Genomic DNA, 25,088 nt, shown 5'->3' with positions numbered 1-25,088 from the left:
AAAAGTGAAGGGTAGTTGCAAAGGGTGTTCCCTGCTTCACGCTTACTTTGTAATTAAGTAGGGTGAACCTCAAACAGAAGCTGAATAACATGCAGGTGCGCACATGCACGCACACACACACACACACACACACACACACACACCTGACATAAACTACTGCATTCCATTGTCATCAAAAATGTAAAGCTTAGCTGTCCCGAGGGCAAGCAAAATGAGCTTCTCAGCTACTCATCTGGGTTTCAGAATGGCAGCTTGACAAGTGGATACTCTTCAGTACACAAAACAGCTCCACAAGTAAAAACCAGTTCAAAGATGCCCTTTGCAGAAAGACGTCCTTTGCAGAAAGCCAGTTCACTATTTTGACAAAAGGATTATTTAAACACTGAATTAGAGTCGAGATTTGTGAAAGATGTTAGTGAAATTCTCTCCTGCTGCTCCTTTTCCAGAATTTTTTTGTTTCTGGTGCTCTAATTAAATTAATTACATTTTAAAAATAGTTGTCATAATTTTGCGGTGTTACTATTTACCCTTCTTGCGATGTCAAACAGCACCATTATATTGTTAAGAGTTAAGCATATTCTACCCACAAATAAATGTGTGAATATTCTTTGACCCAAAAAGGTTATAAAAGATACTGTTACTGTGCCCATGTTTAGCTATTAAATCTTAGTAAACGATTTAAACAGCTCCATTTGAAGTCATATTAACACAACAAAGATTGTGCATTTCCTGAGGATTTTGACTTGGTGAGCTACTAAAGCAATAGACTTTCTTTCATCATACTGAACTCCTTTTGCTTCATTTTCTTCTTGTTCACTATGTCTTTATATTCTATTTGAAATACAGACCTATTTTATCATTTTCTTGCTTTTGGATTTGCCTAAAAAATTGCTTGCTTCAAAATTGAGATGCCTTTGTTATTCAAGATATGCGCTTCATATATACATGAAAATCAAATATACATAATTTTTTATTTTCTAATATGTCAGCTTGATACATAGAAAAGAGACTAATGTTAACTTCAGGTGCCATGAGCATTTTTCTGTTTCACGCATTTTTGTATTACTTGTTGATATAGTAGCTGTGCCTCTGCTTTTAGTTCCTGTTAATTTATCCACCCTTTTTTCCTGTCTGAGGAAGAAGGAAGTGTTTCTTCTGAAGTGAACATTATATTTTGGGGAGGGTGGTAACTGTGACGTGCAGTCCCTCTATTGCCCATGAAGCAGTTCGAAATTCAACAAAAAAGAATTAGTTTCTAACATACTCAAGCTGACTAATATGATTTGACATTACTTGACACTGAAAATTTATTTTAAAGTGCCATTTCTGTTTTAAGCTACATATGCAGTTTCACATTAGCTGAGGTAAAATAATTCTCACCAAACAAAATCAATTCAAAATTTAGAAATGACAATATATTGAGCATAGTTGTGATTCATTAAGAGAACAGATTATTTAAAATCACTAAAATGAATAGTCTTGACAAATTTTATCCCCATTTTTGCCTTTTTCTAATCAATTACCATGAGAAAATGTTTAAAATCTCAACAAAATGCAAACCAAGCCACTTTTTAACAACAAACAACACACACAATAAAACCACTTCCATATACTGGGTAACACACAAATATTTGTTAAAAACAAAACTATATTATTCTCTTCTATCTTCAAATTTACTTTCTTGAGAGCAAAACTACATCATTGCCTACTTTTCTATACCTCATGCTTTCATTCTTGTAATAAAAACTGCTGTTTCAACCTTTTATTAGTTTCTTGGGTTATTCTCTTTGTCTGTAAGAATCATTCAGCTTCTACTGACCTAGGCAACACTTGCTCATATCAAAACTTAACTCAGGAGTCATCTCCTACAACAAGTTCTCCATAAACCCTAAGAGTAGGTGATTTTCCTCCTATTTGTCCCCATATGACCCCATATTTCTCCTCAACCAGGGTATAAGCTCCTCAAACCTACCACAGTGTCTAGTTCATAGTAGGCATTCAAGGAATGTTTACTGTTTATTAATAATTCTAAACTCGATACCTTAGGTAATAGTAACAGCTAAGTTTTCACTTCTAGGTAGCTGGGACTTACGAATCATTCATTATACATTATTTTTTCTAATCCAGTGGTTCTCAATGTGTGTTCTCCAGACCAACATCAACATTGCCTGGGAACCTGTTACAAATGTAAATTCTTGGCTCCTACCCCAGATCTAACAAATCAGAAGCTCTGTGATTGGGTCTTTTAAATCAATGTTTTAACAAGCTCTCCAGATGATTCTGATACCTGCTAAAGTTTCAGAAATACTGCTCCAACTAGAAATGAATATTTTGTTCCCTAAAAAGAGTTGTTTTATAAAAATAAATCGTGTGAAAATGAGAATTTACCTTCCAAAACAATAAAAAAGATGACCATGTCTTCTAGTTTTGGTCTGCAGGTCCGTGATACAGAAAGGAACAGAACAGAGTATTATTTAACTTCCCCTGCTCTTTGCTTTAGTTGTTCTATGCTAATTGAAGTTGTTGGGAACACACTTGAAACATTATTATACAATAAGAACTTTTTTGTTAATTAGCATTTCTAAAATCCATTCCAAGTCTATTGTCCACATTAAGCGTTGCTGTTCAGTGCACAAATGGTGTCATGAGACAATTACATGCTTGGTATATTGTACAAATTCTAAATCTACTAATACCGTTCAGCAGCAATGAAGCAATTAGCACTCAATTCTGAAGTGGTGTTGTAGAATAGAAGGCTTAAAACTTATCAGTAGTTTTCTACTTTCCCTAATGCTGATTACAAGCCTATATTGATTGCTTCATTTCCCTCCTAACAGTATGAGAGGCTTTTGAAGACCAAACTGTCAGCTTTACATCACTTATTATGAACAAGCTTCTTTGGGAGATGATTATTTTTGTTGAAGAACAATTGTTCAGGTAAGTATTTCTGTAAATCAAACTGTCCCAAAACTTTTTGGCTTAAAGCAAAAACAATCATTTATTTGGCTCACAAATCAGCAATTTGAAAAGGGCTTAACAAGGAAAACTTAGTTCTCCCCCATACAATGACAGCAGCTAGACTGGGGCTGGAGATGATACTTCCAAGGTGGCTGGCTCACATGGCTGGCAATTTGGTGTTGTCTGTCAACGAGAAGTTCAGCCAGAGCCTCCATTCCTTTTCACATGGGTTGCTCCACAGTGCAGCTTGGGCTTCCAAACAGCATGGCAGGTGGAATTCAAGGTCAAGTGTTTCAAGAGACAGAAAGCAAAAGCTTCCAGTATCCTAAAGCCTTGGTCAGGATACCAACACAGCCTGACTTCCACTATATCCTGTGGGTCAAAAAAATAATAGAACCTACCTAGATTCAAGGGAAAAAAAGACAAAACCCCATCTCTTGTTGGGAGGAATCTCAAAAAACTTGTTGCCATCTTTAATCTGCCACAAATTGTTTATTCACTTAAATAGAGTATAGATTTTGAGCTTTTTTTTTATTTATTTTTTTGGGGGAGGGATGGAGTCTCACTTTATCACCCAGGCTGGAGTGCAGTGGCATGATCTTGGTTCACTGCAACTTCTGCCTCTCAGGTTCAGGTGATTCTCCTGTCTCAGCCTCCCAAGTAGCTGGGACTACAGGCGCCTGCCACCACACCAGTTAATTTTTGTATTTTTAGAAGAGATAGGGTTTCACCATGTTGCCCAGGCTGGTGTCAAACTCCTGACCTCAGGTGATCCACCTGCCTCAGCCTCCCAAAGTGCTGGCATTACAGGCATGAGCCACCACGCCCGGCCACTAATGACATTCTGAGACTTCTTTGGGTATATGTTTTTATTTTAGGCCCTTTACTAAAGTGCTCCTAATATGAGAATTTAATCAGGGTGAAATGAAGAAAAAAAATTAAAAACTAAATATATGCAGGAATAAAAAAATACAGTGAAGAAAATGAATACCCACATCACTTTACTAAAACAAGGTCTGTAACAGAACAGTGAGTGACAAATTCATACGGGTCATCTGGTAACCCTATTTCTGTGAGGCCTAGATGAATACAATGTACCTTGGTGGCAAGTGGACTGAGTTCTTGCCATTCAGTTATCATACAGTGTCTGGTTATATAAACAGAACTAGTATCAACTCAAAACGAAAAAGGAAATGTGTACAATTACCAACAGAAATATTTAAATTCTTATGTTTACTCAATGATAGGGGCTTCATTTGCTTTTTGTTTTTTGTTTTAATTGAATTATCCAGAAAACTTTTCCTCAATGCTGTACTCCACATGGCCTTTGGAGCACAAACTAATTCAGGGAAACATTTTAGATGAGCCTGAAGTTCATCTGGTACTTTACCAAATATATCAGAGATAAGGCAAGAACAAGACAATAAAAGAGCAATTTAAGTGAGTGATCACATCCTAAGTAAGAAAAAATTAAAATTAAAATAACAGCCTAATATTAATATAAGCAATTGTAGAGGTAAACATATATTATCCCATGTTGCCAGGAGCTTGCATTTAACTGTGTGGAACGATTAGGAAATAACTTTCTCATGTCAGAGGCAAAAGTTTAGACCAATAAGGCAGGTCTTCTGGGTGTTTGGTTATTGATTTTCTAATCCAATGGTAAAGGTCTGACTTAAAGCAGAGATTGACTATCAGTTAGCAGTGTTTGTTAAATTTCACAAACACACAGTCTAAGAAGCTAAGTAATTTCAAGACATAAATGAACGAAAAGAAAATACATACCTTATACATTTCCTTTAATTTTACAAAGTGACATTTGAGAGCTGTGCATTATTTTAACTATTACATTATTGAGTGGTAATTAATTTGAAGTACAAAAGTTTGCTGGAATCCATGCACAGATGCCTCAGATGCAGTCAACTGCTTCCCTCTTCTGGCCAAAAGTGGAGGGAAGTTTGATTTTTATTACTGAATCTGAATGGAATTGTCTTCATGAGCAGCTCTAAAATCAGGTCTTAAACAATGAAAATTTACTATAGTTTCTATCAGCAGGATAAAATGCAATGTAATTCAGAAAGCATAAGTTAAACTATCCAGAAATTATTTGTAGGCAATTTCATTGAGCTTTTCATTGGTAAAAAATTTTGAAGTGTAAAGAGATTTAAATCTGTGTTTGCCGAACAGTCTTCAGAATAGGAAATGGTGGATTTCATTGCTTTCGGGTCACTGGGGGTTAATATATTTTGATTGTCAACTAAAATTATTCATAGATAGTGGAATGAGCATTGGTGGTTCTTACAGGGAAAAAAATGAGAAATTACAAAGATAAACTCCAGAGATTTCTACCACAGATTCTAGAATAAAATGCAATTTCTCTTCGTGATCTTGCTAAGCTTTGCAAGTGTTATGAAGGGCAATGACAAGATTAAATCATCAGATCAAGAGACTCAAAAATATCCCCCTTAATTGGGATAATTTAAATAATTTAAATCTCCCTGTAGGTTCTAATATAGACCCCGTCCCCCGCAAATGACTGGAAAAAAAATCTGTTACAGAAAATTTCAAGAAAAAATAAACTCTTATAAAAAGGCTTTCATAAAATGTTCTTTGCCTAATTTATACAATTATAAATCTGTATGCATATAGACGAACCTATAGACAAATCTCATTCCATATTTCACTCAAAAGGATAAAGACTGGAAATATATATATATTTAATTTGGAAAGGAGATTATTATATATATATAATATTAATTTGGAAAGGAGAGCTTTATTTCTCATAAAGAGTTGCAGCCTGCAGGGTGGCCAGGCTGTCTGATGGGTTGGGAAGCACAGCGTCTGGCCAGAAGCCAGAAAAGACACTTTGAGGGAGGGGAAATGGGGACAAGAATTTATCCTGAATGGGGCGGCCAAATATACGTATTTAGTGAGCTATAGGAGGTGGATGAATATTTATGATAGGAGAAACATGTGCACATGCAATAGAGGTATATGCTCCTTCATGGGTCCCATACTCCAAAAATGGTGGTGTAAGCATGATCCCAGGGAGTTTTCCACCCTGTGATGGCAAAAGGTGAAGAGAGGGCAAAAAAGCCTCATTTTATGAGGCCAGCATCATCCTGATACAAAAACCTGGCAGAGACACAACAAAAAAAGAAAACTTCAGGCCAATATCCCTGATGAGCATCAATGCAAAAATCTTCAACAAAATACTGGCAAACTGAATCCAGCAGCACATCAAAAAGCTTATCCACCACGATCAAGTTGGCTTCATCTCTGGGATGCAAGGCTGGTTCAACATACACAAATCTATAAACATAACCCATCACATAAACAGAACCAATGACAAAAACCACATGATTATCTCAATAGATGCAGAAAAGGCTTTCAATAAAATTTGACATTCCTTTATGTTAAAAACTCTCGATAAACTAGGTATTGATGGAACATATTGCAAAGTAATAGAAGCTGTTTATGACAACCCCACAACCAATATCATATTGAATGAGCAAAAGCTGGAAAGCATTCCTTTTGACAACCAGTACAAGACAAGGATGCCCTCTCTCACCACTCCTATTCAACATAGTATTGGAAGTTCTGGCCAGGGCAATCAGGCAAGAGAAAAAAATAAAGCATATTCAAATAGGAAGAGCAGAATTCAAATTGTCTCTGTTTGAAGATGACATATTTCTATATTTAGAAAACCCCATGTCTTAGCCCAAAATCTCCTTAAGCTGATAAGCAACTTCAGCAAAGTCTCAGGATACAAAATCAATGTGCAAAAATCACAAGCATTCCTATACACCAATAATTGGTGTAGAGTTAATTTTTGTATAAGGTGTAAGGAAGGGGTCCAGTTTCAGTTCTCTGCATATGGGTAGCCAGTTTTCCCAGCACCATTATTAAATAGGAAATCCTTTCCCCATTCCTTGTTTTTGTCAGGTTTGTCAAAGATCAGATGGTTGTAGATGTGTGGTGTTATTTCCAAAGTTTCTCTTCTGTTCGATTGATCTATATGTCTGTTTTGGCACCAGTACCATGCTGTTTTGATTACTGTAGCCTTGTAGTATAGTCTGAAGTTAGGTAGCATGATGCCTCTAACTAGTCAAAGCATGTTGACAGAGCAGAGAGCCAAATCATGAATGAACTCCCATTCACAATTGATACAAAGAGAATAAAATACCTAGGAATACAGCTAACATGGGATGTGAAGGATCTCTTCAAGGAGAACTACAAACCACTATGCTCAAATAAATAAGAGAGGACATAAAAAAATGGAAAAACATTTTGTCCTCATGGATAGGAAGAATCCATATCATGAAAATGGCTATACTGCCCAAAGTAATTTATAGATGCAATGCTATTCCCATCAAACTACCATTGATATTCTTCGCAGAATTAGAAAAAACTACTTTAAATTTCATATGAAACCAAAAAACAGCCCATATAGCCAAAACAATCCTAAGCAAAAAGAACAAAGCTGGAGGCATCATGCTACCTAACTTCAAACTATACTATAAGGCCACAGTAACCAAAACAGCATGGTACTGGTGCCAAAACAGACATATAGATCAATTGAACAGAAGAGAAACTTCGGAAATAACACCACACATCTACAGCCATCTGATCTTTGACAAACCTGACAAAAACAAGGAATGGGAAAAAGATTTCCTACTTAATAATGGTGCTGGGAAAACTGGTTACTCATATGCAGAGAACTGAAACTGGACCCCTTCCTTACACCTTATACAATAATTAACTCAAGATGGATTAAAGATTTAAATGTAAAACTCAAAACCATAAAAACCCTAGGAGAAAACCTAGGCAATACCATTCAGGAAATAGGCATGGGCAAGAATTTCATGACAAAAACACCGACAGCAGTTGCAACAAAAGCCAAAATTGACAAATGGGATCTAATTAAACTAAAGAGCTTCTGCACAGCAAAAGAAATTATCATCACAATGAACAGGCAACCTACAGAATGGGAGAAAAATTTTGCAATTTACCCATCTGACAAAGGTCTAATATCCAAAATCTACAAGGAACTTAAACAAAGAACCCCATCAAAAAGTGGGCAAAGGATATGAACAGACACTTCTCAAAAGAAGACATTTATGTGGCCAAAAAAATATGAAAAAAAGCTCAACATCACTGATCATTAGGGAAATGCAAATCAAAACCACAATGAGATACCATCTCACACCAGTCAGCATAGCGATTGTGAAAAAGTCAGGAAACAATAGCTGGCGAGGCTATAGAGAAATAGGAATGCTTTTACCCTGTTGGTGTAAAATGTAAATTAGTTCAACCATTGTGGAAGACAGTGTGGTGATTCCTGAAGGATCTAGAACCAGAAATACCATTTGACCCAGCAATCTCATTACTGGGTATATACCCAAAGGAATATAAATCATTCTACTATAAAGACACATGTACACATATGTTTATGGCAGCACTATTTACAATAGCAAAGACACGGAACAAACCCAAATGCCCATCAATGATAGACTGGATAAAGAAAATGGTACATATACACCATGGACTACTATGCAGCCATAGAAAGAAATGAGATCATGCCCTTTGTGGGACATGGATGAATCTGAAAGCCATCATTCTCAGCAAACTAACACAGAAACAGAAAACCAAACACCGCCATGTTCTCATTCATAAGTGGGAGTTGAACAATGAGAACACATGGACACAGGGAGGGGAACAACACACACTGCATCCAGTTAGGGGGTGGGGGAAGAGGGGAGGGAGAACATGAAGATAAATAGCTAATGCAGGCGGGTCTTAAAACCTAGATGATAGGTGGATAGGTGCTGCAAAGCACCATGGCACACATAGCAAACCTGCGTGTTCTGCACATGTATCCCAGAACTTAAAGCAAATTTAAAAATAAATAAATAAATAAATAAAATAGCAAAATAAAAAAAGGCTGACAGCCAATTTAAACATTCTAGGCCAGATGGGAATGGAGTTGGACAGGCAGTCATCAACCTTTAAAACAAGGTAATCAATTTTAAAAATTTGTAAGTGATGTAAGAGCCAAAAAACAAAGCCAAAAGCAAGGTTTTTGAAGTTATAATGCAAGAATAAGAAATTGTTTTAAATAGAAAATTTGTGGAAACAAGTGCTTTGAAATATTGATAAGAAATATAAATCAACTAAAGGAACTCAACTTACTGATTGCAGAATATCTGAATGCAAAGAACAACCAAAATTTGAATCCCTCTGTTTCATATTTACTTTTCAAAAATTAAATTTAAAAACTCCCAAAGAAGCAAATGAAGGATTTAAAATTTACAAGAAAAACTTGCATTGGGTATTCAAGGGATAATAATAAGGAATCAAACATATACAAGTCCTCATAACATTTTATAAAGTAATTTAAAACATTCCTAATAATGAGGGACTTTTCAGTTTCTCTGATGACCCTGACACAGCTATCACCAAAATTAGCTGCTAGCAGATCAAAAGGGGATTTTGTGCATTATGAAAAAGGCAACCTTTCCTTTTTCTTAACTGCATAAAGTGCAATTAAGAAAAAATCATCACTGTACAAATCTGCAGTGACTTGGAGGTGAATGGCACCCCTAGAGTTCTGCAATGCACTGCTTGCACAACTGTATATTTACAATGTGACAACCACCGCGGCATTCCAAAACCCATTAGCAGATCCTCTATGCAGAACTTGCAAAGTTGTGGTTGGAAACCGAGATACGGAAGTCTAAAACATTCAAGAAGGTGGTTACATTTGAACTGAGAGAGTTTTCTTGAAGAGAGCTATGCATGTCCCTGCCTCAAAGGGAGAGGGTTAAGTGTGCTGACTCCTTATCTTCAGCCAGAAAAAAAAAAGAAAAATTAGTAGGGCCATTTGGAGACTGGGCTGCACAGTGGGCGAGGGTCTGACACAGGCCTGAGAAATCTAGTGTGAGAATCCATAACATGTTATCTACCCTGATAGTGGACAAAAGAGACATTCCTCCATTGGAAATAGCCTGGAGTCACAGAATGTGTCTGGGCAAAGAATGTGTGAGGTTTCTCCTATGGACCCAATAAGATCCACTCAAGAAACAGAGCAAGGCTTGGGATGTCTTAGGTCTTCCCTAAGTAGATCCTCCTGGAAGGGAGAAATGCAGTAGAAAGAACCTGGAGGCTAACACTGCTAACAAAATAGACTCTCAGTTTCACCCAAATGCCCAGATAAAAGAAGGCCAACCTCAGTGGCCACAAGATCAAAAGATGATTTTATGCAGAAAAGTGAATTTGTGGGGAAATAAAGAAGCCAACCTGAAAGAACTGCAAATCAGAAATTTCCCATGACGCAGAGGATGGAAGAGTGTCCTGCACAAAAGCCCCATAAGAATGAGACAGCCAGCTGCAGGCCCAACCACAAGGTCACTCAAGGACAGGGAGGGAGAACTTTAAATAAAGTAGAGTATCCAGATTTCACCACTGAACATATTAAAAATTCAATTGAGACTTAAAAAAAAACAAACTAGAATTGTTTTATATTGAAGTAACTCAACTCTCAAGAGACTTTATCAGGCTCAAAGCATAAACCACAGACCAGCAGCATTAGCATCATGGAGGACCTCCTTAGACATGCAGACACTCCAGACCTACTGAATCACAGTCTTCATCTTAACAAAACCGAGTGATCTGCATGCACGTCAAAGTTAAGAAGTACAGTGGTCTTGCCGCTTCTACCTTTCCTAGCTAGCTTCTTATCATTCTTCTTCCTCCCTTCTTCCTTCATTTCCTTCTCCCTCTTCTCCTTGCTTCCAGAAAGAAACGGACCTCACCCTCCAATAGTTGGCACTAACACACACACAGGTCCAGGGGGTTGCTCCCCACTTACCTTCTTCCTGCCTGGAATGATGTTACACCACCAGGAGCTGCAGCAACCATCCTATAACTGTGAGGTAACCAGCATGTGAATTAAAGTCAATGTCCTAAGAATGGCAGAGGAAACAGAAAGAACCCAGTTTTTAGACTGTTGAGCTCCTGCACCAGCCCTAAGCTGTCTTCCTCTGGACTTCTTGATATGTGAGAAAAAATAAATAAATAAACCTGTACTCATTTAAACCACTTTAGTCAGGCATTCTGTTCTTTCCGATTATTTACATAACTGGATAATAAGGTATGAAATCAATGTTACCATTGCTGAGTTAACAGGGAGATCTGAAAAACGGAGAATCGCTTCTGAGAAGTGACCTTCTTCGTTGCAGCCAAAATGTCCCTTTCCCTTTGAAAATTCTGATGAAATATTTTTATCATACACTAAACTTTTATATGTTAGCTATCAGAACTCAACTCTCTCTTTTTAATAGCCATGCCTATTTTGAGGTATTCAAACAAGTTTTTTAAAAGGCATTTCAATCAGAAGAACCCTAAGAAATATTGGCATATGACATCCTCTACAGTGAGACTCACGGAATGTCCTGAGGTAAGACTGTCTGAGAGAAGCTTTTACAGTAATTGTGTAAACTGGAAATAATACAACTTCTTTGGTCCTCTCCCAATAAACACCATTTCCCTTTATCAACACAATAAAGGAGAGGAAATGAGGCATAGCGAATGTGAGCTTGTCCAGAGATCTTCTCTCTTTACAAATGCCTCTAATTTACACCACCACCAATACATTCTTCATTATATTTTTAAAAGCTAGTTGCCTACATTTGACGAATTGTTACAGCTGGTATGTAGAAGAGGACAGAAAAGCCATTATTCAGATGTCTTAGTCATTTATAGGCATTTTGCCATTAAAAAAGAAGAAAGGGAGAAAACCTCAGACAGGAAATATTAGTTATTGGACCACTTCATGATTAATAATGACCTTTTAAAATAATTCTTAATGTTCCACAACATGTGATTCTCAGTGTGGTTGTTTTTGGCATCTGGGGCTGGACAGCTCCTTACCATGTGGGAATGTCCCATGCCATGCAAGATTTTTGCATCCCCAGCACCCACTAACTAAATATCAGTAACACCACCACCCATCACTGTGACAGTATCTGCCCCCCCATTTCCTGTCTTGCCCACACATTTTCAAATATAAGGGGTAACATATGTATTTGAAACCTACTGGGTTAGCACCTGCAGAACAAAAGTAAAATAATCTTCCATCCCAAAATCATGTAAAAGCTTCTTTATACTTGCTTTTTGTCATTTTATAGTTTCATTTCTTACACTAAGATTGTAATCCATCTGAATTTTCTTTTGGGATAAGATCTGAAATAGGGTTGGAATATTATATTTTCCTTTTTTTTTTCCAATACCATTTTAAAGAAGTATCCTTTCTTCAGTGATAAAACACAAAATCAATTTCTATCCTAAGATAAACTTTTCATCATAATTAGGTTTCCTTATGGACTTCTCTTTCTATTAAAAATATGTCTGTTCCTGTGTTGTTATCTTATTATTTTAATTATTAGAACCCTCACGTGTTTAATTTCTAGGAGGCCAAAGAGTGCCTTAGTACCCTTTTTAATCAAAATTATCTTTACTATTCTTATCTGTTTGTTCTTCCTAAGAATTCCAGAATAGTCTGTCAAGTTTTTAAAAGAAATCGCAATAGAATTTGATTAAAACATATTAGATTTATAGGCTAATTAGGAAAAAGTATTATTTTTCTAATGTTAGGTCTTGCCTATGAACAACATAGACAGCTTCCATGTCTGTTCAAGTCTTCTATTACATTATTCCGGGAAGTTTAAAATGTTTCCTGAACAGATTCTACATCTATTTGTATTTGTTAGGTTAATGCCCAGGTTATATTTGGTATTGAATTGGGATTTTGTTTTTATCGTGCTTTCAAACTACTGATTTATTATTAAAGTTTATATATTTCTGCATGACTAGCTAATATGCTATAGTAGGCTTATTCCATAGTCTATGGAAGTTTTCAGATACCTAAGCCTATCATTGACAAGTGATAATATTTTGCCTCTGTCCTCAAACTCATTTATTTTAAGGATAAAAGAACATTGGTGATAGTGTGGGCCTTGTTGTCTTGTTCCTGACTTTAATAGAAATGTCATTGACTATAATGATGGCCATTGCTGGTTTTGGACATGCTTTATAATATTAAAGAAGAATCTTTAATTAGGAGTCACTAGGAGTTTTTGTGGAAAAAATCATTTTTCATATTTTATCTGCTGATGAGATGAATTATATAAATAGATATCCAATTATTTAACCATTCCTTAATTCCAGAAATAAACCCTTAATCACAGCTTGTTATTGTTAATTTTCATGCTGAGATGTATTTACTTTTATTTATGTAGCATTTTTATCTCTATGAATAAACAAGTTTGGCCTGTGTTTTATTTTTCTTTGAGCAAGTTTTGTAAGGTAGCAAGGTTTTGCCATCTTTGAAATACAAAGAGATATTTCTTATCTTTTTGCATCCTCTGGAACCTTTTAAAAAATAATAGAAATATATTCTCAAATAATTAAAAAGCAAATCTTCCATTATTTTGAATCAAGGAAATATATACAATATATTTACATATAAATATATTTTTGACAGCTATTCCATTTATTACAATATTTCAATTTATTAGTGCACATAAAAATTTTGTATAGCTCTCTATGAAAGACAATGCTGGTTACCTATGCAATATCCATTGCTTCTTCTCCTTTGTCAGCATTTTGTTAGGCATAGCACTGTGTTCAACTAAGAATGCTTAATCTCCCAGCCTCCTTTGCAATTAGCATTAGCTGTACAACCTATTTCTGATCAGTGATGATTCAGTGGGGAGAGCTCTTGTCTCAAATCAAAAGGTACAATTGCAAAAAGATAAAGCTTTTGATCTCCCTTCTTTCCTCCTGCAATGCAGATGCAATACCTGGAGGTGTACCAGCAATTTTTTTTTTTTTTTTAGAGGAAGTCTCCCTCTGTCACCCAGACTGGAGTGCAGTGGCGAGATCTCAGCTCACTGCAACCTCTGCCTCCCAGGTTCAAGCGATTCTCCTGCCTCAGCCTCCCGAGTAGCCGGGATTACAGGCACCCACCACCACACCTGGCTAATTTTTGTATTTTTCATAGAGACAGGCTTTCGCCACATTGGCCAGGATGATCTTGAACTCTTGACCTCAGGTCATCCACCTGCCTCAGCCTCCCAAAGTGCTAGGATTACAGGTGTGAGCCACCGCACCTCACCTGTACCAGCAGTCTTGTGGTCATGAGGCTGATAGATACAGAAGAAGCATAGGAAAACAGGAAGTTATAAGAAGTCTTAGTGTTTGACGGTATTGTTGTGCTGCAATTCCAGCCCTAGACTGCTTACTTCTGGAGCTCTTGTTGCATGAGGAAAACAGAAATATTTGTTTATTTAAATCACTCACCACTAGGTGAGGTTATTTGCTTTAAACATAGTTCTAAAAATACACTTTCTTTTTTTTTATTATTATACTTTAAGTTCTAGGGTACATGTGCACATCGTGCAGGTTTGTTACATATGTATACATGCGACATGTTGGTGTGCTGCATCCATTAACTCGTCAGGCTGGTTCAACATACGCATATCAATAAACGTAATCCAGCATATAAACAGAACCAAAGACAAAAACCACATGATTATCTCAATAGATGCAGAAAAGGCCTTTGACAGAATTCAACAGCACTTCATGCTAAAAACTCTCAATAAATTAGGTATTGATGGGACATATCTCAAAATAATAAGAGCTATTTATGACAAACCCACAGCCAATATCATACTGAATGGGCAAAAACTGGAAGCATTCCCTTTGAAAACTGGCACATGACAGGGATGCCCTCTCTCACCACTCCTATTCAACACAGTGTTGGAAGTTCTGGCCAGGGAAATCAGGCAGGAGAAAGAAATAAAGGGTATTCAATTAGGAAAAGAGGAAGTCAAATTGTCCCTGTTTACAGATGCCATGATTATATATTTAGAAAACCCAATTGTCTCAGCCCAAAATCTCCTTAAGGTGATAAGCAACTTCAGCAAAGTCTCAGGATACAAAATCAATGTGCAAAAATCACAGGCATTCCTATACACCAATAACAGACAAACAGCCAAATCATGAGTGAACTCCCATTCACAATTGCTTCAAAGAGAATAAAATACCTAAAAATACACTTTATACCTGTAGTTCAAAACTGACTTTTATTGAGGGCTTACTTTATGATACATATTTCTGTAAGCATTTTAGAAATTTATCACATAAAATCTTCACACTCTCCTACAAAGCAGGTGCTACTATTTATCCTAATCAGTGGTCAGTAAGTGGGTGAAGTTGGTGATGTTATTCTTAATTATAATGCTATTATCATACCTATACTAAAATCATAGATTTATGCTTCCTAATTTTCCTGTTAGTCTTGGGTAGAAGCCTCTCTTTTTTTTCTTTTTCTTTTTTTTTTCTTTTTTTTTTTTTTTTGAGACAGAGTCTTACTCTGTCGCCCAGGCTGGAGTGCAGTGGGGCAATCCCCAATCACTGCAATCTCCGCCTCCCGGGTTCAAGCGATTCTCCTGCCTCAGCCTCCTGAGTAGCTGAGATTACAGGTGCCTGCCACCACGCCCAGCTAATTTTTGTATTTTTAATAGAGACAGGGTTTCTCTATGTTGGTCAGGCTGGTCTTGAACTCTGGACCTCACTCCAGACCTCAGGTTATCCACCCGCCTCAGCCTCCCAAAGTGCTGTGATTACAGGCATGAGCCACTGTGCTCGGCCCGGAGCTTCTCTGTTAACTGGATATTTTAAGAAAATCATTCTTGGAATATTTTTTGTCAAGTGAACTAAAGAATTAACTAAAGAACTAAGAATTAAAGTAAAGCTAATTTTAAATGATTAAGTTGTGATTTTGAGGGAGTTAAATCTTTCTTACTAATTTTCATTTTAACTCTATTATAATAAAACGATTATTCTTTGGGGAACTTATTGAATTATCAATTTTCATGAATATTCCATTGGCATAGGAAGAGGTATATTTGCTTTTGTTAGCCACAACGTTTCATATGTATCTGTTAAATTAACTCATCAGTTACATTCCTGAGATTTTCTGTATGCTTACTTGATCTCATAGAGTAGGAAAGGTTAAAATCTCTGACTATGTTTCCATTATTTCTTCCTTGCAGTTTAATGATTTTACTTTACATATTTTGATGATATGTTATTTGGCACGTAACAATTGTTACTTTTATCATCATTGGGAATCAGCAATATAAAGATGTTTTCTTTATATTAAGTTATTCTTAATTATAAATAATTACATCAAGGTATTTATATTAAGACATTAATATAAAGGTCTTTTGCAGTATAAAGACCTTCTCTTTATTCCACCTAATTATTATGGTCTTGGTCTGATTTTAACGTTTCAAGCACTGATTTCTTTTTTGTTTTGTTTCTTTTCATTTGCCTGATTCAATTTGCGCCTTTGTATTTTTAAGGCATTCATATTTATAGTTACAAAGTTTATATTTGGTCTTATTTTGTCTTCATGTTCTGTTTTCTGTTTTGATGTTTCATTGCTATTTGCTATTTGCTTTATACGTGGCAGTATTTGTCTGCTGCTTTGTCTGATTTTTCTTTTGAAAGGTTTTTTTTTCTTATTTTCAACTCAGTGATTATCCTTAAGATTTTTCTAAACATTTTAACCTATATTTACATAATGGTTAGGATAACAAGTGAAAAATAAATTTGCTTGATTTCTTCTTCTATTTGAAAAACCTCCTCCACCTGCTTCACTCTTTGTGAATTTTATCTCAGACTTTAGGCCCAGATTTTCACTATACAATTTTTAATGTTTATATCTATCTTTTAATAATAAATTTTTACATGTGCCTTTTTAAATTTACAATCTTACACTATTTTAACTGGATCCACTGCCCACAGACTGTGTTTTTAACTGGCTCCACTGCCCACAGACTGTGTTTCCATATTATAGTCATGTTACTGACCTCTGAATTTTTATCATCTTCGACTGGCAAGAATGGATCTGCAAAGCTGTAAATTACCATTACACTTGAAATAGAGTGGACCTCTATAAAACATGCTAAGTTGACAACTTTTTCACCTCAACATTAATACTTTTAATACAATAGGAGAGAAATTTGAGTCAAATTGGTCTGAGCTAATTTTCCTAGGTTATTCATTTTTTGAGATGTAATTTATATACACACAGTTCACCATTGAAAGTCTACATCTCAGTGGTCTTTAGTATATTCAAAAGAATGTGCAACAATAACCACTATCTAATGCCAAATCCTTTCATCACCTTCAAAAAGAAACCCCACTCCCTACTCCCCCTTTTCCTCATCCCCTGGAAATCATTAATATACCTTCTGTCTCTATGCACTTGCTTTTGCTAAACATTGTATACAAATGAAATCATACGATACGTGGCCTTTGTGTCTGGCTTATTTCACCAGGCATAATGTTTTCAATATTCTTGCACATTGTAGCATATAACAGTACTTCATTTCTTTTCATGGGTAAGTAATATTCCATTGTATAACTATATCTCATTTTGTTCATCCATTCATCAGTTGTTGTATATTTGTGTGGTTTCCACTTTGGCTATTATGAATAATGCTGCTATAAATATCCATGTACAAGTTTTGATATAAATATATGTTTTCATTTCTCTTGGGTATATAATAAGAATGGAATTGCTGGGTCATATGATAATTGCATGTTTAAATTTTAAGGGACTGCCAGGCTGTTTTCCAAAGTAGCTATGCCATTTTACATTAGCAACAGCAACATATGATGGTTCTAGTAGCTCCACATCCTTGCTAATACTTGTTAATTTCTGCGACTTTTAATTTATTATTATAGCCATACTAGTGCATGGGTATGAAGTGGTATCTCATTGTGGTATTGACTTGCACCCCAAAATGCAGTTGAGCACCATTTTATGTACTTATTGGCCATCTGCATATCATCTTTGAAGAAATGTCTACTCAAAACTTTTGCATTGTTCAATTAGATTATTTCCCTTTTTATTACCGTTATGGGTTTTTTATATGCTTTATAAACTAGACCCTTATTAAATACATGATTTGCAAATATTGTCTCCCATTCTGCAAACTGTCTTTTTGCTTTCTTGGCAGTGCCCTTTGATGTGCAAAGCTTTTTAATGTTGATAAAGTTCAATTGATATATTTTTTTCTTTGATTGCTTATGCTTTTGGTGTCATATCTAAGAAACTGTTGCCTAATTGAAGGTAGAGAAAATATACACCTGTTTTCTTCCATGCTGGATTAATTTTTATATATAGTGTAAGACAGTCATCCAAATTCATTCTTTAGCATGTGGATATCAAGTTGTCATGGCACCATTTTAAAAAAGACTATTCTTTCCCCCCTTGAATGATCTTGGCACCATCATTGAAAATCAATGGACCAACTGACCATATATGTTAGGGTTTATTTCTGTACTCTCAATTCCATTCCATTGAACGATATATGTCTATTATTTCTGTCAGTACCACACTGGCTTGATTAATCTCACTTTTTAACAGGTTTGAAATCAGTAAATGTGAGTCCTACAACTTTGTTCTTTTTTTCAAGATCATTTTGACTATTCAGGTATGTTTACTATCTCATATGAAGTTTTGGATCAGTTTTCCCATTTCTGTTAAAAAAGGCAATTGACATTTTAATAAATACTGCATCGAATTTACAGATCAACTTGGAGTCTTTTACCATCTTAACAATACAAAGTCTTTTCATTCACAAACATAGAATGTGTTTCCATTCACTTTTTAAATAAAAGACATTTATTTAATGTCTTTCAACAATGACTTTTTGTACTTTTCAGTATACAAATCTTGATTTATTCCTACGTATCCTAGGCTTTTTTTTTTGATGCTATTGCAAATGATTTTGTTTTCTTAATTTTATTTGTGGGTTGTTTATTGCTAGTGAACTTAATTACAAGTGCTTTTGTAAATTGGTCTTGTATCCTGCAATTTGCTACCTTCATTTATTAAACCTAATAGCTTTCCATGAAATTTTTAATGGTTTTCTATATATAAGAAATGGCTTCCTCTGTGTTTTCTATCATGTCATCTGGAATAAAAATAATTTTACTTCTTTCCAATCTGCACACCTTTTATTTCCTTTTCTTGCCAATATTTCCCTAGCTAGAACTTCTAGTACAATGTTTAGCAAAAGCAGTGAAAGTGAACATCCTTGTCTTGTTCCTCATCTAAGGGGGAAGATTTTCAGTCTTTTACCATTGAGCATATTACTAGCTGTGGGTTTTTTGTAGGTGCCCTTTATCAGATTATAGAACTTTCCATTCCTAGTATGTTGCCTTGTTTTTCTCTTTTTTTAACCATAAAAGGGTGTCAGATTTTGGCAAATGCTTTTTCTGCATTTATTGAGATAATCATGTGGGTTTTTTCTCCTTTATTCTATGAATATGGTGTATTACATTGATTGATATTCATGGGTTGTGCCAACTTTGCATTCCTGGGATAAATCTCACATGGTCATGGTATATATTTCTTCGTATAGGCTGTTAGGTGCTGGTGGCTAGTATTTTGTTGAGGGGTTTGTGTTTTGTTTTGGGTATTTTTTTTTTTGAGCTTGTTTTTAAGTATACCAAGATTCTGTATAGCATTGTGGCTGAGATCTAAAAGCAAACCTGTATTTAAATTTGCAAAGCACTTAGATACAGTCTAGTATAGAGCACTTTTATTTTCTTTTTCTCCACCTGAAAGCCTATAGGATTTGTTTTAATGGGTAGTAGTTCACAGAGTAGAATCACAACTTGGAAAACAAATATTTGAAATATTTCCTTTTGTGATGATCAAAGCCCGGAGAGTACAAATAATACAAGGTCAATTATGAATGGACTAAGATACACATAAACTAACAATAATCCATATTCTACTTGCTTTATCATATCCATAACCTAATTTAGATTGTATTTTTATTTAACTTTTTAAACACTTAACATGTTTTATCTGCTAATCTGCAAATGTCAAGCTTTCAGAATATGTGTCTATTTCCTGTATTCAGGCATTAATATTGTCATTTTTTACATTTTTTCACTTTAGTTTTTGATAATAGATTTGTAATCATAGGTTATATTAAAGTTAAAATTTCAGCATCTTTGCTATCATAGTTTTTCCTTTTTTGATTTTGTAATGTACAAAAAATAATATGGTAACAAAATTTTCCCAACATGTTTTCACACAAAAATTTTTGGCTCTTTCATCTTATATTCTTCATCAGTCATCCACTTGTTATTGCACAAATGCTTTAGGGTGTCTTAATTCATTCCATCCACTTTGTTAGGGACAACAGTACCCTTCATTTTATAATACAATGAAAGGAACATTGTATGGACTCTGCCTTCAGGGTTGGAGAAGACACTACAGAAAAAGCAACATTTTCACCTAGTAATGGAAGAAGGGCAGAAATTTGGCAGGTTAGAAGGAGAGAAAGTAAGTATTTCAGTAACATTATTTTTGAAAATAAAAACCATCTCCAAAATTGTTCAGACTAATAACGTCATGATTATTTATTTGGAGTAATATTAGCCCCAACAAAAGCATGGCCTAAATTTTAGACAGAACATGCTGAAGTAAACAGTAATTATCTTGATTTTTACTTTGTATATTCTCTCTATTGGACCAGGAAAAAAAAGCTGATTCTCCTTTAAAATTCTGGGAAAATATTTGCAAGTGACATTTTACAGTTATTTTATCATCAAAGAAATTATCTACAAAGATAGGTGAGTCAGGAAGAGGTTAACCATGCTGGTGTGACATTCTAAGACTGTCAATGAATAATGACTGAAACCAGTGATAACCTGAACTGCAACTTTAGGACACAGATCAGCTTTGACACTATGTGACCTAAAACCAATTATGTTGGATCTCAGTTTTCACATCTACTAAATTAAAAACAAAGATAATTACATTATCTGTCTAGTCTCGTGTAATATAAAAAGTCTACTATTTTAAAATAATTAACATATCAGTGAACTAAAATTCAGATTTCAGGCAATTTTAACTGTTTGGAACATATTGGCCTGTAAATAGATAAAGAATGCCCTATAGCTAGTTGAAGTATTTCCCAAAAGAAATTGCCTTTTAAATAGACTTCTCATAGGCTTGATTATCTGATTTCTCAACCTACAATAAATTACAAAACTGGGGAAGAAGGATCATTCAGAATAAAATACAGAGGGACAAGAGACCAACAAGAAGTTACAGGTGAAGTAGACAATAAATTTAAACTGAATAAATTAATAACTGAAAGTCCCACTAAACTGCATGCTCTGAAACTTATGCAAAAAATCTATTCTGAAGGAACACACAAACAACCCCAGGTACAGTAGACTCCACATAACAAACAAATCCTACTGAAGATGATCTCATAATAAAAGATAACAAGTAATTGAAAGAACAATAATGCATAAAGAAGATACATTTCATAGGATGTGAAAATGGCCATAAGATAAATATATTTTTAAATGAGTAAGGATATAAAGAAGCAATAGAACCATGATAAAAGAACCAAGAATTAGGAAAAAAAAAAAGGTAATTTGAGAAAAGAAACAAGCAGAACTTTTACAAATGAAAAACACAGTTACTAAAATTAAAACTCAGTTTCTGAGTTTTAACCAGCATATTAGAAACAGCTGAAGATACATTTTTCAGATGAACTGAAAAATAGGCTTGAAATGATAACCACAAAATGTAATACAGATTTTTTAAAGGAAGTAGAAAAATGTGAAGAAAAAAATGTTTAGAAGCATGGAAGATAGAATGAGAAAATTCAGCATATATTCAATGGGACCACTAGAAGAAAGAAAGGATAAAATAAGAGGACACCATATTTTTAAACATGATTAAGTATTCTACAATACTAATGAAAAACAAAAGTCTCCTAGATCTAGATTTAAAAAATAATTCAGTCTTGAACAAAATAAATATAATAAAGTCCACACCTAGATTTGTGATAGTAAAACTATAAAACATTAAAATTAAGAAAACAATTATTACAAGCAACTGAACAAAATAAATAACTTACACCAAGAAAAAAACTAGTTAGACTGACAGCAGACATCATATAAGCAGATGTCTGCTTATAATGCCAGGGAATGAAATGATTTCAAGTGATGAAATAAAATAACTGAAACCCTAGAATGTATACTCACCTAAAATATCACTCAAGTGGTAACCTAATAAAGATATTATCAGACAACTGAAAACAGAACAGTTCACTCTGGCAAAACACAAGCAAAACATTAGAGGAAAGATAGATAGATAGATAGATAGATAGATAGATAGATAGATAGATCGATAAACAGTAAACCTACTACAAGTAATTGAAAGGTAATTGAAATGAGAAGTTAATTGGAGGAAATTGAAACCAAAAGGGGAAAAGTGACAATGCAAGAAGCAAAGAAGGACTTCTACTTCCAACCAGGATGGATTAAGAATGAGAGCATTTACCTTCTGCCTTAAATAACTAGAAAACCAGACAAAATGTTTGATGCAACAATTTTTAACACTGAATGGCAGGGAAACACGGGAGGTCAGTGCTACAATTGTCCCAGGTTACTGCCTGAAGAGAATTTCCAAGTTGCAGCACAAGAAAGAGAAACCCAAGCAGGACCCCAAAACCTAGGAGACAGATGGGAGACCAGAAGTGCTGAAATTTGGGGTTGAGAGGGTAGGTAAAACATGAGAGGGAACTAGACGAGGAAAGAGCTCCCTCCAGAGATCTTAAGAAGAATCCCTAAAGACTGTGGCTAAGAACTGATAGGAGGATATACACAAGGCCAAAGAAAGAGCTACCTGTAAGGAGTAGGAGGAATAACCCTATGAAGCTCAAAAAAGTCTGGGAATAATTCATTTTCCCAGAAGCTAATCTGGGAAGATGTCCTAGTATACAGGGCTTTAGGTTAATTACTAAAGAAGGTGTTGCATTAGGAGTGAAGTCAAATTCACTCTAGACCAAAGACTTCTCTGGCACAGTCCTAACAAAGCTTAAAAGCTAGACCACAAAGAATAAAACTAGTTCAAAGTTACTTAATTTCATCCCAGAATCAATCCCAGTAATAGTTGATGGAATATAAAAAATCAACAGTAAAGAACACTAAATTCTTATTGTCTAGTATCCATTCAAAAATTACCAGGCATGCTCTCTCTTTCCAGGAAAAGATCGTATAAACACACTTCTTCCTATTATTCCAACGGGATACAGCTTGAAACCCTGGGCATTATTTGTAAATCAAGCATAAGAAGACTGAAATGTGGAAAGAAGAAGGTAGACTTTCTTGGGATCCAAAAAACAACACAACAGTTGGTTAATTATGTGGATTTTCTTTTTGCTTAATATATACCAGTTTAGGTGCTGGAGAAGCCAGCAAACCAAAAATACCAACAGATGCAGACAAACAAAAGCCCCAAGAAAAGCCTGCTCATTTTCTCTAGCCAAAGGACCTGGAGAGCGGCAGTCAAGCAAGGCAGGAAACTTCTAGACAACTACCACCGTATTCCAGTCAAACACTATGAAAAAAGACATCAGCCCCACGCCCTCCCTCAGAAAATGCTGAGTAGGGAGCTTAGACTTCTACCTTCACTTGACTGTAATGAGGCCAAGCTGGTCCTCGTTTCTGAGTCAGGACTCAGGAATACCATCACTGCCCAGCAGTAATAAGCCCCTCTTCCCTCATGGCATTAGTGAAGGCTACATGGGAAAGGGAATTATTTGAGCAAAAACATTTATGTTCATTTTCTACCTAAAAATGTTAACATCAATTTGATATACAACAATGATTTCCACATTTGCAAAGTTGGGACATTCTACTGATATTCCTTGCCCTTTCATAATTTCATGATGTTTTAAAAATTAAATCATATTAAAATAAATTTGTTTGAACTTTTATTAATAAATTATCATGTATGTAAAGAAGAACAAAAATATCACTCATATACAAATAAAAATTTAACCAATAGAAACAGACCCAGAAATGACACAGATGATAGAATTAGTAAAAGAATATTTTAAAACAGGTATCATAAATATACTTCATATACCCTAAAACTTAAACTATAATAATAATAAAATAAATATTATATATATACTTCATATGTGCAAGAAAGTACACAATAGGATGAAGAGAGAGTTAAAAGATATTTTTAAAGACCCAGATGGAACTTCTAGAGAAAAGGAATACAATATCTAAAATGGAAAATATACTCAATGGGATTAACAGCACATTAGACACTGGAGAAGAAAATATTAGTGAACTTGAACACATAGCAGTAGAAACTATCAAAAGTAAAACACACAGAGAAAAAAGAATGAAAAAAATTAACAGAGCATCAATGACCTGTGAAACAATATTGAGCTGTGTTACATATGTTAAAACAAAAACCAAGAAAAGACAGGGAGGCAGATAATATTTCTCAAGAAATAATATTAATAAATAAAAAATATTTGAATGTGATTAAAATTGTAAACCAACATATCTAAGAAGTTCAGTGATGTCTAAGCAAAAGAAATGTAAGAAACATCACACCAAAATAATCAAATTTTGAAAACAAGTAATAAAAAAATCTTAAAAGCAGGCAGAGAAAAAAGGTGCACTACATAGAGAGGAACAATTAGAAGAACGTAAATAGACCTCTCATCAGAAACTATGCAAGTTGGAAAGCAATGGAGAGATATCTTTAAAATACTAGAAAAACTGCCAGCCTAGAATTATAAACACAAAGAAAATACTTTTCAAAAATAAAGGTGAAATAAATAACTTTTCAGAGTAACAGCAACAGAGTGAAATCATCACTAGCAGTACTGCACTACAAAAATGTTAAGGAAATTTCTTCAAGCAAAAAAAGAAAAAGAAGGAGAAGGAGAAGCAGCAGCAGCAGCTGCTGCCACCTGGAAATTTGGATCTAAATAGAGGAATGAAGAACAATGGAAATGACAAATATGTGATAAATGAATATAAAATACATTTACTCTTTTTTTTTTATTTTTAGATGGAGTTTCGCTCTTGTCGCCCAGGCTGGAGTGCAATGGCGCCATCTGGGCTCACCGCAACCTCCACCTCCCGGGTTCATGCGATTCTCCTGCCTCAGCCTCCTGAGTAGCTGGGGTTACATGAACATGCTA

General features: G+C 35.0%; 1 long non-coding RNA gene across 2 annotated transcripts in view, besides 1 other annotated feature; it reads right to left on the bottom strand.

Annotated features, from left to right (window-relative positions):
- Positions 1 to 25,088, bottom strand: part of LOC100506207 (uncharacterized) — a 349,823-nt gene that overhangs the window by 280,839 nt on the left and 43,896 nt on the right. The window lies entirely within an intron of this gene.
- Positions 12,235 to 12,404: an enhancer, noted in NCBI's record as "experimental_96186 CRE fragment used in MPRA reporter constructs". NCBI's record gives its function as "activates a minimal promoter by MPRAs in K562 erythroleukemia cells, with activity observed for both the introgressed and non-introgressed 6:8492521 variant alleles {active_cell/tissue: K562}" and the evidence as "EXISTENCE:reporter gene assay evidence [ECO:0000049][PMID:34662402]".

The sequence above is a fragment of the Homo sapiens genome, chromosome 6 (genome assembly GCF_000001405.40).
Source record: "Homo sapiens chromosome 6, GRCh38.p14 Primary Assembly".
Lineage (NCBI taxonomy): Eukaryota > Metazoa > Chordata > Mammalia > Primates > Hominidae > Homo > Homo sapiens.
The sequence above is the reverse complement of the archived record's forward strand: the minus strand, read 5'-3'. Positions and strand labels throughout refer to the sequence as shown.